The following is a 13,816-nucleotide window of genomic DNA, read 5'->3' on the forward strand; positions in this document are numbered from 1 at the left end:
AACTCTGAATTTCAAAACAAAGGTAAGTTAATTTGCTGGCCAGCAAAGAAGGGCCATGCCAGGCAAGAAAAGACTTCGCCGATTCTCTGCAAGCTGAATTTTGAAGGACCAGATGTAGAAGCAGTAATGGAATTTATTCCCTATCACAAGGGATTTGAGGCATTATGTTTTGATTGGCTTATTCAGAAATGTTTCCTTTTGTTTGGCCAATTCTAGCCTACGTCAAAAAAGTGTAGGCACAGTTTGCAAAGAGATTCCTGGTGGGTAAAGGCTCCATGGGGCTTGAGTCTCTCAGTGGACACCTTTGCCTGCTCATGCTTGGAGTTTTAACACTCTGGAGTGTATTTCTTGGTTCTGGACTTTGGGGAGCTGAGACGTGTTGAGGGCTCTTCCAGATGGTTGGGAAAATGGCACTGACATATGGATACCTGAGGCCAGGCAGATAAATATCTTGAAAGTATCTGTTGTGTTATTCTCTGTGTTTAGTTACCTTTGGTAGTACTCTTAATCTGCTTTTTGTGTAAACCTTTTTAGGGTGGCCAACTGTCCTGGCTTTCCTGGCACTGAGACAGTCCCAATTTCCACCCTATCTTCTAGCTTGGACTTTAATGTCCACTCTTGGGCTGGAGTTCTTCAATGAAACTGGTAGCCTGAGATCAGGATCCTGCTAGCTGTTGTGCTTGGTGGGACATCCCAAGGGCAAGTGGGGGCACAGGTGTGTAGCTGTTAGGGATGCCCACTGGAACACTGTCTGCATTGCTGTCCAGCACATTTCTAGGCCAGGTGTTATTGATGAAGCTTGTATGTTTCCTTTCCCTTCAAGTAGCTCTTCAACTGCAGCCTTTGCATAAATTGTCCTGTTTGCTTGGAACATCCCCTCTGCTTTGTACACACTGTTCCTCCCCCTGCCATCCTCGTCTAACCCTTGTATATCCTTCAGCTCAGTTGTTACTTCCTCAAAGAAGTAAGGCCACCTTCACTTACACGCGCAGGTGAGATTAGGTCCACCTGCTTGCTTCCTAGGCCTCCTGCTTTCCTTTCTTTCTCTCTCTCCCTTCCTCCCTCCCTCCCTCCCTCCCTTCCTCCCTTCCTTCCTTCCCTCCTTCCCTCTTTCTTTCTTTTTCTCTCCTTCTCCTTTTCCTTCCTTCCCTTTTCTCTTTCTTTCTTTCTTTCTTTCTTTTTCTTTCTCTCTCTTTCTTTCTTCTTTCTTTCTTTCCTTCTCTCTCTCTTTCTTTCTCTCTCTTTCCCTCCCTCCCTCCCTCCCTCCCTCCCTTCCTTCCTTCCTTCCTTCCTTCCTTCCTTCCTTCCTTCCTTCCTTCCTTCCTTCCTTCCATCCTTCTTTCCTTTCTCATCTTGGAATTTTTTTTCTTATAGCATTTTGACCTCCTGACCCACTGTAACCTTCATGGGTTGTAGTGGGAGGGAGTGAGGAGGGAAGAGAAGGTGGGTGTGGTCAAACAGTGCACTCAGTTTGGATTTCTCATGCTAGTCTGGGTGACTTACTTATCCAAACAACAAACCCTGTGGGGATGCTGCATCATGAACTGTTTCAAGAAAACACAATGCAGGATGTGAGGCTTGGAGCAATTTCTGCTGAGCCTCATGTCCCTGGGGTCAGCAGTGATAGCTCAGGACAGTGACTGATGGCCCTTAATATTGCCTCTTCCAGGAAACCATTTCAATTACATTCATCATTCTGCACATGCACACATGCATGATTATTTTGGACAGGTTTCTGTTTCTAAAAGTTAATAATACATGGCTACATACATGAATACATTTGGATTATGTGGAAATTAACATATATAACATACACCTCCCTTCCCAGAGCTGGATTGAACTGATTGGGTACTTTCTCCAAGTCTTCTCTCATCCCCTTTGAGATTCTCTTATTAAGTCCTTCTCCTCTGCACCCAGCACTGCACATTTCCTCCTTTGTCTTTTCCACCAGGCTTTGAGCCCCTAGGGGCAGGGACTATGTCTTCTCATCACTATAGCTCCAGATTGTACTCTGCAGCCTGGCACACAGTAAATGCACAACGAGCATATATTTGTTGAAGATTATACCCCTTGTCAAAAACCTTACATGGGTCCTTGTTTCCTCCTCTGAAATAGGCCAACTGCTGACCGGTATTAAAGCCCCTGCACAGCTTGGCCCCAGGTTACCTGTCTTCCCTTATCCCCCATTTCTCTCTGTGTGCCCTGTGCTCTGGCCAGACTGGACTCCATGCCTTTCCTGTTCTGATATTTTCCTGTGCCAAGGGTGTGCAAAGCTCTTTATTGAATGTCTGTGTTTTCTGCGATGTCCAGCTTAGTGCCATCTCTTCCAGGTAGTTTTCAGTGAAGTCCTCAGCCTAACAGCGTTTCTTCCTGCTCTTTGAAATAGTCACTCATGTTTGCTTATGGCCCTAAGGATTCATCTGGGTTTGTAATTATTGACATGGATGTCTTATCCTGTTGGAGTCAGAACAATCTAGAGTGAGTCTGCATGACTTTTCTGCAATTCCCATGGACATGGAATAGCTAGATCTACTTCCAGGAGTGACAAGACTTGAAGAAATTCTAATTAAATTTTTATTTCTGAGTTTGCTTTAAGAAATAAAATAAATTCTTAGGCCGGGCACGGTAGCTCATGCCAGTAATCTCAGCACTTTGGGAGGCCAAGGTGGGAGGTTCACCTGAGGTCAGGAGTTTGAGACCAGCCTGGCCAACATAGTGAAACCCTGTCTCTACTAAAAACACACACACACACACACACAAATTAGCTAGGCATGGCGGCAGGCGCCTGTAATCGCAGCTACTCAGGAGGTTGAGGTAGAATTGCTTGAACATGGGAGGCGGAGGTTTGCAGTGAGCCGAGAGCGTGCCATTGCATTCCAGCCTGGGCAACAAGAGCAAAACTCCGTCTCAAAAAAAAAAAAAAAGGAAAAGAAAGAAAGAAAATAAATTCTTAAAAAAGTTAATTATTCTTTGTGATAATAAAGAGCCTATCTTTATTTCTTTGTGTGTGTGTGTGTGTTGTGTGTGTGTGTGTTTGTAATTATTTCTATTTTTCACTCTTTTCCTACAACTATGAGGAAGTAATAGTCTCTTTTCCAAATACTGTTAGTCCAAAGGCTTGTTTGTAGAATCAGACTGTTCTTTGTTTTGGACCCTGGCTGCTTGCTTCCAATTCTCAACGCTTTCCACGTGGCAGACCACCAACAAGGAATAGTATTCCTAGTCCATTTGGATGAATCCTTCTCTTAATCCCTTCCCTCTGGGATTTAATGCTAACAGGGTTTTTAAAATTTACATTTCAAAATGATTGAGTAAATTTTTCTTTATAATTGGGAAAAGGCAAGATTTTTAACTAAGAATTTTGCTTTTGCGTTAGGTTTACACTGCATTAAGACATATATTTATCAAATAGAGCTATGATATATTGTAAATATACATTAAATAAAGCTATGCTCTATTTAAAAACCTAATTCTGAACACATGGTTCTCATGAAAAATTATAATACCTTGAGTGGAGACTGACATCTGAGCTGATAATAGCAGTAGTTTAAAGGAGTAGTCATTCATTCCATCAATCCCTCAACAAATGTTGATTGAATCTCTGTAATGTGGCATCATGCTGGGTGTATGATACTGTGATGTGAGATAGAATTGTATCCAAAGTAATTCCTGCAATTTCAATCTTGAAACTAGAGAAGAGGAGCTTTTTCTTTTTGAAGGCTAAGATTACAGTTGCCCTTTATTAAGCAACCTGCATGTATAAGAACTGTATGAGATATGCCCTGTGCCTTATAATTACAGTTTACTCTTCTGCTCCTCTGTGTTTGCTTCAGCAGCACATATATTAAAATGAACAATACAGAGAAGATTAGCATGGCCTCTGTACAAGGATGATATGAAATTTGTGATGAGTTTTAAAAAAGACCAGTTAGTTGTAAGGGAAGGGAGAAAAGAAGGTGCGGGAGAAGCGACAGAAGCTAAGCTTCTCTGTATATACCTATCTTACACATTTGGCTTTGGGATCATGCAAATATTTTATATATTTGTAAAGTAAAATTAGATTTTAAAAGAACAATCCCTAAGAATAAAAAATAAAATAATAAAAGCAAAAAAACCTATGATTCCCATTGGTGGTGGTAACCACATAGAGAAGAATTATTCTAATTGACTTTAATACACATGAATTTCACTGAAGGTCAGTATATCCAAGGATAAAAGAACTAAAAATGAGATTTAAAACTTTTTGCAGTGACGTTATTGTTGATGGTAGCATTGGACTTGCTGTTATGAGACTGCTGTGTGGGTGATGTGAGACAAAGCAAATGAACAATACAAATGTGATCATTTGGTTTTTTATTCTGGTAATCTTGAAAATCCGTATTCTTGATATGGGAAAAAGGAGACAGGGAAAAAAGATAGAAGAAATTAAGTGAAAACTCTATAGTCCTAGAATTGAATTGTAAGTATCTGTAAAAACTCCTGAGGTCTTTTATCTTAAACAAAACCAAACCAGGACATATTTTGCAGATCCCTTCACTGAAAAGGCATAATAACAATGAGCAAATGGCCAACTTAATAGCAGTGATCTAGTGCCCAGGTCATGGTCTCTCAACACCATATCCCATTTAAAAGGAACCAGGATTCCATGGCAAAATTACTTATTCTGGGTCTGGAGGTAAAACAATGCAAAATTAGCCTGGAACATTATGTAATTAACAGGTAGCAAGGAAGCTGTCAAGACTACTAGAGTCTCATCAGAAGGACTCAGGAATCAGCTTGTCAACACTTTTATAAGCAGAAATTGGGACAATTTGAAGCCAGGCGCAGTGGCTCACACCTGCAATCCCAGAATTTTGAGATGCTGAGGCGGGCAGATCACTTGAGGTCAGGAGTTTGAGACCAGCCTGGCCAAAATGGTGAAACCTCATTCCTACTAAAAATACAAAAATTAGCCAGGCGTGGTGGTGCATGGCTATATAATCCCAGCTACACAAGAACTGCTTGAACCCGGGAGGCAGAGGTTGCCGCGAGCTGAGATCCTGCCACTGCATTCTAGCCTGGGTGACAGAGTGAGACTCCGTCTCAAAAAAAAAAAAAAAAAATTGGGACAAAATTTGAGCATCAATAAAAGCAAAAATTGCAAAGGACTTAAGCATGTCAACTATGTTTATATCACTAAGTTAATAATAATACTAAAATGCATTAGTCACTGTTGGCGGGTGCTCAGGAATCAACTCATTACATTGAAAACAAATAGAAGGAAAAAACCCAAATATTCATTCTGCCTTTTCTATATGAACAATATCACTGGATAACCAAACAGTAGATGAGGAAAATTTGTCTTTACAGAAATATTTCAGTCAATAAATAAGGAAGGGATGATAGAATGAGAATGTCATCATTTTGCAACTCTAATGAACTGATATATGCATTGAATATCAAAGCCAATAAAGTCGCAAAAAGGGAGACAGCCAAACAGTGTACATCTCTTGATGGAAGAACCCAGTACTACCCATGTAGGATTCTTGCCTTCTATGGTGCTTCTCGACCTCCCGAAAATTGAGGCTGCAGATCTAACTACCTATTTATGAGAATTACAGTGTACAAGGAAACACATTAAACTAAATCATGGGTTTGCAACCACCAAAATCCAGACAGTGGGAAACTTTACAGGACAAACAATTCAATTTCTTCAACAAATAAATTGCAAAAGAAAAAGAAAACTAGATACAGAACCAAAAAGATTAAGTGAGACTTAAAAGATGTATCCACCAACTGCAATGCATGGCCCTTATTTGGATCTTTATGTAAATGAACAAATAAACAGACAAAAAACCTACGACAACACTCTTTATGACATTTATAAGAAAATTGGAAAATTACTATTTTGTTGTCAACTCCTAATTTCTGAGGCATGAAAATGGTATTGTGAATATGCTAAAAAGTATATTTTATGAATACACATAAAAATATTTACTGATTAAATGATGTTTTGTATAGTGGGAGTGGGTGAGTAGTAGAATAAGCTTGGACTTGGGTTGCTGATTGTGGGGCTGGGCTATGGGTACTTGGGGTTCATTAGACTTTTCTGTCTACCTTTATGTATGTTTGAAATCTTGCATAGTAAAAGGTAAAAGATAAAAGTAACAACAACAAAACAGCATCAACAAAACAAAAATGAAACTCAACTTTGCTGTGAATTGGATAGTGTCATTCCATATTATTAATAAGGAAGTTGTGGCTTGGAGGAGTTAACAGCCTCACCAGGACACAATCAGTCAATGGCAAAGCCAATTTCATACCTAGGTCTTTTTCAAGAGAAAAAATATTTGGCCTGGTGAGGTGGCTCATACCTGTAATCCCAGTACTTTGGGAGGCCGAGGTGGGCAGATCACTTGAGGCTAGGAGCTTGAGACCAGACTGACCAACATGGCAAAACCCCATCTCTACTAAAAATACAAAAATTGCTGGGCGTGGTGGCTTATGCCTGTAATCCCAGCTACTCAGGAGGCTTAGGCAGGAGAATCACTTGAGTCTGGGAGGCAGAGGTTGCAGTGAGCAGAAATCATACCACTGCACTCCAGCCTGGGTGTCAGAGAGAGACTCTGTCTCATTTTAAAAAATAAATAAATAAAGAGAGAAAACATGTTCACTTTTTTGCCATACTACATTGCATACCTAAAATCAAATAATGCAACTTCAAAAATATCAAATTCACTAGAAAAAATTAATTAGCAGAAAAGCATTTTACAATTAAACATTTCTTCCATAGATATTTCTTAAATGTTTGGTCCCTGACCTCATTGCCACATTAAAATAAGATATATAATCATATTCAATTAAGTTCAAACTTATGTGTGCAGTAATTTAAAGTTTAATTTATGAGTATTCCATGAGGCTTTGTAAAAGCATCCCCGTGATACTTCACACATTCTGACACCAGAACATGTTTGAGAAATATTGATTTAGCGGTTGGTGACAAAAGGTTTTTAGAATTTTCAGCACACACAAAGGTTAGAATGTGTCAGTGGGCATTACACTCTGAATAGCCATGTTAAGTACTAAACTATTTTAATGACAGTAAGTATGCCCTGCTGTTGGCAGTGAAACTGTGTTACCATTAGCATATTTTACAAGTTGAGTCTATTTTGTGTTCTAACTTGAAGCAGCTTTATTTCCTGCCCCATTACAGGATAGTACTTTTATAATATAAAATAAATGTCCCCAATTCAACTCATTTTAAGACATGGATTTATAATGCCATGAACTTGGGGCAAACCTTTAAAATGTTTTAAAGCATATTTTTTCTTAGTTTTAAACCTTGAATTATTCCACTCATGGTTTTTATGTTAAAAAATATTTCATTAAACTTGCCAAATTTTATTGTAAAATACTTGAATAAGAAGTCTAAAAAATAAATGCACAAGACATTTTGTTCTTCCCCAGGTTCAGATGATGAGTATGGGAAATCTTTTTTCTGTCCAGCTTAGTTAGCAATTTTTTATGTTTTTATTTTTTGTTATATTTTATTTAGAAGCAGCATATGTACTTTTTAAGTTAGCAAAATTGGCCCTACCTGGAATTGGAACAGTTTGGCAGAACTATAGGAAGTTACCCTGAAGTTCCATTTTCTCTGCCAGATGTGATTTTGCCATGACTTGATATCTGTCTGTTAGGCCTAACTCTTGCCACATGGCACAGGAAACCTTATTTTAAACAACCAGAGTTCATCAGCAATCTTATTAAATATCTGGCATGTCTTATCATTCATGAGCATTGATTAGTGTTGGACCTCACAGTCACATTGTCCCATCTGCACACAGGGAGAACTCTGACGCTTCAGACTCAGAAGCCTCTTAGTAAAGGATTTGGGTGAACAAAGTATCTTTCCTGGAGGGTCTCTGAGAGCCCCTTGTTTAACTCCTACTCAGTTATAATCCAGTTCTACATAGATTAACATCTTTAAGGAAGTATAAGCAGTATATCACGGAGCCTAGTACATGTTCCGTAGTTTGAGAGAAGGGGACCTCCAATTCTCTAAACACTCTTAGATGTTGCCTTCTTCTGAAGTAGATTTACAACAAGAAACCTAGGAAACACAAGACACTAGCATATTTATGTGTTTTGTTTGTTTGTTTGTTTTTGGGATGGAGTCTTGCCCTGTTGCCCAAGCTGGAGTGCAGTGGCTCGATCTTGGCTCACTGCAACCTCTGCCTCCTGGGTTCAAGCGATTCTCCTACTTCAGCCTCCTGAGTAGCTGGGACTACAGGTGTGCACCACCATGCCCAGCTAATTTTTTTATTTTTAGTAGAGATGGGGTTTCACCATGTTGGCCAGGCTGGTCTCGAACTCCTGACCTCATGATCCGTCTGCCTTGGCCTCTCAAAGTGCTGGGATTACAGGCATGAGCCACTGCACCTGGCCACAGATTTATGTTTTTAAGAGGACATTGCCTTTATGAAACTGCCTTAAACTCATGAGGCAGGACAGACTGAGATGAGCAAAGATGAAAACAGATGAAAGGCATAGTTTCCAAATGAAATCAAGAGGCGGGAGATGCTGGATTCAGCAGAGAATCAGATTAGTGAAAACAAATTCAGAAAAGTTCAGTTACAGGGGATAAGGACAGGGAAATAAAATCAACGAGGAGACTGTAGCTATGTTGGACAGATCTCAGACATCCAATGTAAGTACTCACAAAAGAGAGAAGACATCAAACGGAAGAGAGGAAATTCAGTCAGTGCTATAAGACAGCTTTGATTTACTAAAAGCTTTTGTGAAAAAAATTCAAAGCTGTCATTAAATATGTGTCAGTTGTAAGATGTATTGCATTTTGATTTCAAAAAATGGAAAAAGATAGGAAGGAGCAAGTTAGAATTTAGGAAATGTAGAAACAGAAAAAATTATGATACAGAAATTGTTATAGGCCTTATCCTCTGAGCCTAAGTAATTCAAATAAACATTAAGTGAAGAGGTTTGAATCAAAACCTATAAACATTACAAATTTTAAAACACTCTTCTGAAGAAATTATTCATGCAAGAGGAAATGAAAAATATAATTACACATTATGTAGAAGATAACAAAAACAAGAGTATTCGTTTCAGAAATTATCATGTAACTACAGTCTATACTGAGAGGACCTCACATTCTTTCAAAAATGTAAACATTTAATATATTCAGTAAGTGATATTGGAACAGTTGGTTAATTTAGAAAAAGTTAATTTAAATTGTTAACATATGTAATAGTAAATTCCAGATGGATTGAAGAGTTAAATAAAAAATTTAACCATAAAAACATAAAAATACCATGAAAGTAAATACTTCCAAATTTCTGATGGAGAAGCTTCAAATGAATGGAAAGTAAAATGTATTGATGGATTTAACTACATAGAAGCCTTAAAATGAATACTTGTCGAAAAACATTCAAATGAGAAGTTAAAGTAAGATAACATGTAATACAAATTTTGTAAAATACCATGTAAAAGACTTTTCAAATGGACAAAAAAGAGATAGTAGATGAATAGGTAAAGGAAAATACTTTACAGTTGTAATAGAAAAGCAAGTGACTGGTTAATAATCATATGGAAAGATTCAACTTTATTTCTAATCAATAAAATATAAACCCAAGCAATGACTAAAAAGCACTCCCCCACCTCCAGCAATTACTTTCAAAAAAAGAAGTTTGCAAACCCAGTGCTAGTGATGGTGATGGGCAGAGATCAAGTTTATATTGTGCTGTTGAATACTGCTAAGTGCAGTGCTTTTGATAAGCAGTTTTGCAACATGTATTAAGAACCTCAGAAATATCTTTAGTTTTTGACTCAGCAAATGTTGTTTCAGGGAATTTCCTGAGGGAATAGTCTAAGTAAAAAGAATGCTTCCTGCAAAAATACATTGATATTATTATTTATAATACTTGACAACCAGAAACAATCTAAATGTTAAACCGTAGGGGAATGGCCAAGTAAATTATGGGATTTCTGAGATGGAATATTACTAATTTTTATTATGCTTATACTTTTGAAATAACAGGAAATGCTAACATGATATCCTTAAGTTAAAAGATCAGGTCACAGAATCACATAGGAAATCTATAATTTTATTTATATGTGAACAGAAAGAGAAACCTCATGAAAAAGCAAAAATAACAGTGGTTATCACTGGGTTGTGGAATTAAGAGTGTTTTAAATTTTCTTTTAAATGTATTCTCCAGGCTTACTACAAATGAGCATATAATACTTTGATCATTAAAATATGATTAAAATATTCCTTCTAAATACTGATGAAGAAGCACTTGGGAAGGGATTAACAGTAGTTAATTAACAATTAAGATATTTTGAAGGTTGGTGGCAATTTTAATACAAAGAAAGGATTGGGGGAATGGACATCCAAGGCTCAATACTTGTTTAATAGTGTCCACTTTTTTCTACTCCTGGTTCTGATTTCCCTTCTTGTTTTTTTTTAATTTTTAAATTTTATTTATTCATTTATTTTTATTTTATTTTTTATTTTTTGAGACAGAGTCTCTGTTGCCAGGCTGGAGTGCAGTGATGCAATCTCGGCTCACTGCAATCTCTGCCTCTTGGGTTCAAGTGATTCTCCCGTCTCAGCCTCCCGAGTAGCTGGGATTACAGGCACACACCACCACACACAGCTAATTTTTGTATTTTTAGTAGAGACACGGGTTTCACCATGTTGCCCAGGATGGTCTCGATCTCCTGACCTCTTGATCTGCCTGCCTCAGCCTTCCAAAGTGCTGGGGTTACAGGTGTGAGCCACCGCACCTGGCCTATTCATTTATTTTTAACATTTGTGGGTACCTAGTAAGTGTATATATTTATGGGGTATGTGAGATATTTTGAATCAGGCATGCAATACACAATAATCACATCAGGGTAAATGGGGTATCCGTCACCTCAGGCATTTATCCTTTCTTTGTGTTCAGTCAAATTATACTCTCAGTTATTTTAAAATCTATAGTAAATTATTGTTGACTGTAGTCACCCTGTTGTGCTACCAGATACTAGATCTTATTCATTTTATCTAACTATATTTTTGTACCCATTAGCCATCCCCACTTCCCCCACCGCCACTATCCTTCCTAGCCACTGGTGACCACCATTCTACTGTGTATCCCCATGAGTTCAAATGTTTTAATTTTTTTTAGCTTCCACAAATAACTGAGAACATGTGAAGTTTGTCTTTCTGTACCTGGTTTATTTCACTTAGCATAAAGACCTCCAGTTTCATCCATGTCATTGCAAATGACAGAATCTCTTTCTTTTTTTATGGCTGAAGAGTACTCCATTGTGTATATGCATCACATTTTTTTTTTATCCATTCATCTGTTCATGGACCCTTATGTTGCTTCCAATTCTTAGCAATTGTGAATAGTGCTGCAAAAAACATGGGAGGGCAGATATCTCTTCGATATACTGATTTCCTTTCTTTTGGGTATATACCTAGGAGTGGGATTGCTGGAACATGATAGTTCTATTTTTAGTTTTTTGAGGAACCTCCATACTGTTCTCCATAGTGGTTGTGCTAATTTACATTCCCACCAACAGTGTATGAGGGTTCCTCTTTCTCCACATTCTTGCCATCATTCATTATTGCTTGTCATTTGGATAAAAGTCATTTTAACTGGAGTGAGATGATATCTCATTGTAGTTTTGATTTACATTTCTCTGAAGATCAATAATGCTGAGTACTTTTTCATATGCCTGTTTGGACTCAAGTGATCCTCTCATCTCAGCCTCTTGAGTAGGTGGGACCACAGGCTTTTTAACTTGATGTGATCCCACTTGTCTTCTTTTGCTTTGGTTGCCTGCACTTGTCGGGTATTACTCAAGAAATCTTTGCCCAGTCCAATGTCCTGGAGAATTTCCCCAGTGTTTTCTTTTAGTAGTTTCACAGTTTGAGGTCTTAGACTTAAGAATTTAATCCATTTTGATTTGATTTTTGTGTATGGCAAGAGATGGGTATCTAGTTTTATTCTTCTGCATATGGACATCCAATATTCCCAGCATCATTTGTTGAAGAGACTCTCCTTTCCCCAGTGTACGTTCTTGGCACCTTTGTTGAAAATGAGTTCACTGTAGAAGTATGCATTTATATCTGGGTTCTCTATTCCTTTGGTCTATATGTCTGTTTTTTATGGCAGTACCATGATGTTTTGGTTACTACAGCTCTGTAGTATAATTTGAAGTCAGGTAATGTGATTCCTCCAGTTTTCTTATTTTTGGTCAGGATAGCTTTGGCTATTCTGGGTCTTTTGTGGTTCCACAGAAATTTTAGTATTATTTTTTCTCTTTCTGTGAAGAATGTCATTGATATTTTGATATGGATTGCATTTAATCTGTAGATGACTTTTGGTATTATGGACATTTTAACGATATTGATTCTTCCAACCCATGAATATGGAATATCTTTTCCTTTTTTTGGTGTGTCCTCTTCAATTTCTTGCATCAACGTTTCGTCGTTTTCATTGTAGAAATCTTTCATTTCTTTGGTTAAGTTTATTTCTAGGTATTTTATTTTATTTGTAGGTATTGTGAATGGGACCGCTTTCTTGATTTCTTTTTCAGATAGTTTGCTATTGGCATATGGAAATGCTACTGATTTTTGTATGCTGACTTTGTGTCCTGCAACTTTACTGGATTTGTCAGTTCTAATAGTTTTTTTGTGTGTTATCTTTAGTTTTTTCCAAATATAAGATCATATCATCTGAAAACATGGATAATTTTACTTCTTCCTTTCCAATTTGGATGCCGTTTATTTATTTCTCTGTCTGATTGCTCTAGCTAGTAATTCCAGTACTACGTTGAATGACAGTGGTGAAACTGAGCATCCTTGTCTTGTTGCTGATCTTAGAGGAAAGGCTTGCAATTTTCCCTTATGCAGTATGATACCAGCTCTGGGTCTGTTATATATGGCTTTCATTATGTTGATGTATGTTCCTTCTATATCTAGTTTTTTAGTTTTATTTTTATCATGAAGGAATGTTGAATTTTATTAAATGCTTTTCCAGCATCAATTGAAATCATCATATGGTTTTTGTCCTTCATTCTGTTGATATGATGTGTCACATTGATTTGCATATGTTAAACCATCCTTGCATCCCTGGAATAAATCCTACTAGGTCATGATGAATAATCTTTCTAATTTATTGTTGATTTCAGTTTGCTAGTATTTTGTTGAGGATTTTTGCATCAGTGTTAATCAGGGGTATTGGCCTGTAGTTTTCTTTTTTCTTTTTTTTTTGTGTCTTTGGTTTTAGTATCAGGGTAATACTGGCCTCAGAGAATGAGTCTGGAAGTATTCTCTCCTCGATTTTTGAGAATAGTTTGAGTAGGGTTAGTATTAGTTCTTGTTTAAATGTTTGGTAGAATTCAGTAGTGAAGCCATTGGGTCTTGGGCTTTTCCTTGTTAGGAGCCTTTTAATTATGGCTTCAATCACATTACTTGTTATTGGTCTGTTCAGGTCTTGAATTTCTTCCTGGTTCAATCTTGGTAGGTTGTATGTGTCTAGGAATTTATCCATTTTTTTTTCTAGATTTTTCAATGTATTGGCATATAGTTGCTCGTAATAACCACTAATTATCCTTCAGATTTCTTTGGTGTCTCTTATAATGTCTCCTTTTTCATCTCTGATTTCATTTGAGTCTTTTCTTTTTTCTTCTTAGTCTGGCTAAGGGTTTGTTGATTTTGTTTATCTTTTCAAAAATCAACTTTTTGTTTCATTGATTTTTTTTGTATTTTTTGTGTTAATTTCATTTATTTGTGCTCTGATGTTTATTATTCCATTTCTTCTGC

At 37.3% G+C, this 13,816-nt stretch overlaps 1 protein-coding gene and 1 pseudogene across 12 annotated transcripts in view, besides 1 other annotated feature; both read left to right on the top strand.

The window, feature by feature from the left end:
- ADAMTSL3 (ADAMTS like 3) overlaps positions 1-13,816 on the top strand; it is a 385,720-nt gene that overhangs the window by 59,484 nt on the left and 312,420 nt on the right. The window lies entirely within an intron of this gene.
- Positions 2,498-2,667: an enhancer, noted in NCBI's record as "experimental_41598 CRE fragment used in MPRA reporter constructs". NCBI's record gives its function as "activates a minimal promoter by MPRAs in K562 erythroleukemia cells, with activity observed for the introgressed 15:84384941 variant allele {active_cell/tissue: K562}" and the evidence as "EXISTENCE:reporter gene assay evidence [ECO:0000049][PMID:34662402]".
- RNU6-401P (RNA, U6 small nuclear 401, pseudogene) lies at positions 3,821-3,916 on the top strand (annotated as a pseudogene).

This window comes from Homo sapiens, chromosome 15, assembly GCF_000001405.40.
Source record: "Homo sapiens chromosome 15, GRCh38.p14 Primary Assembly".
In the NCBI taxonomy this organism is placed as follows: Eukaryota; Metazoa; Chordata; class Mammalia; order Primates; family Hominidae; genus Homo; species Homo sapiens.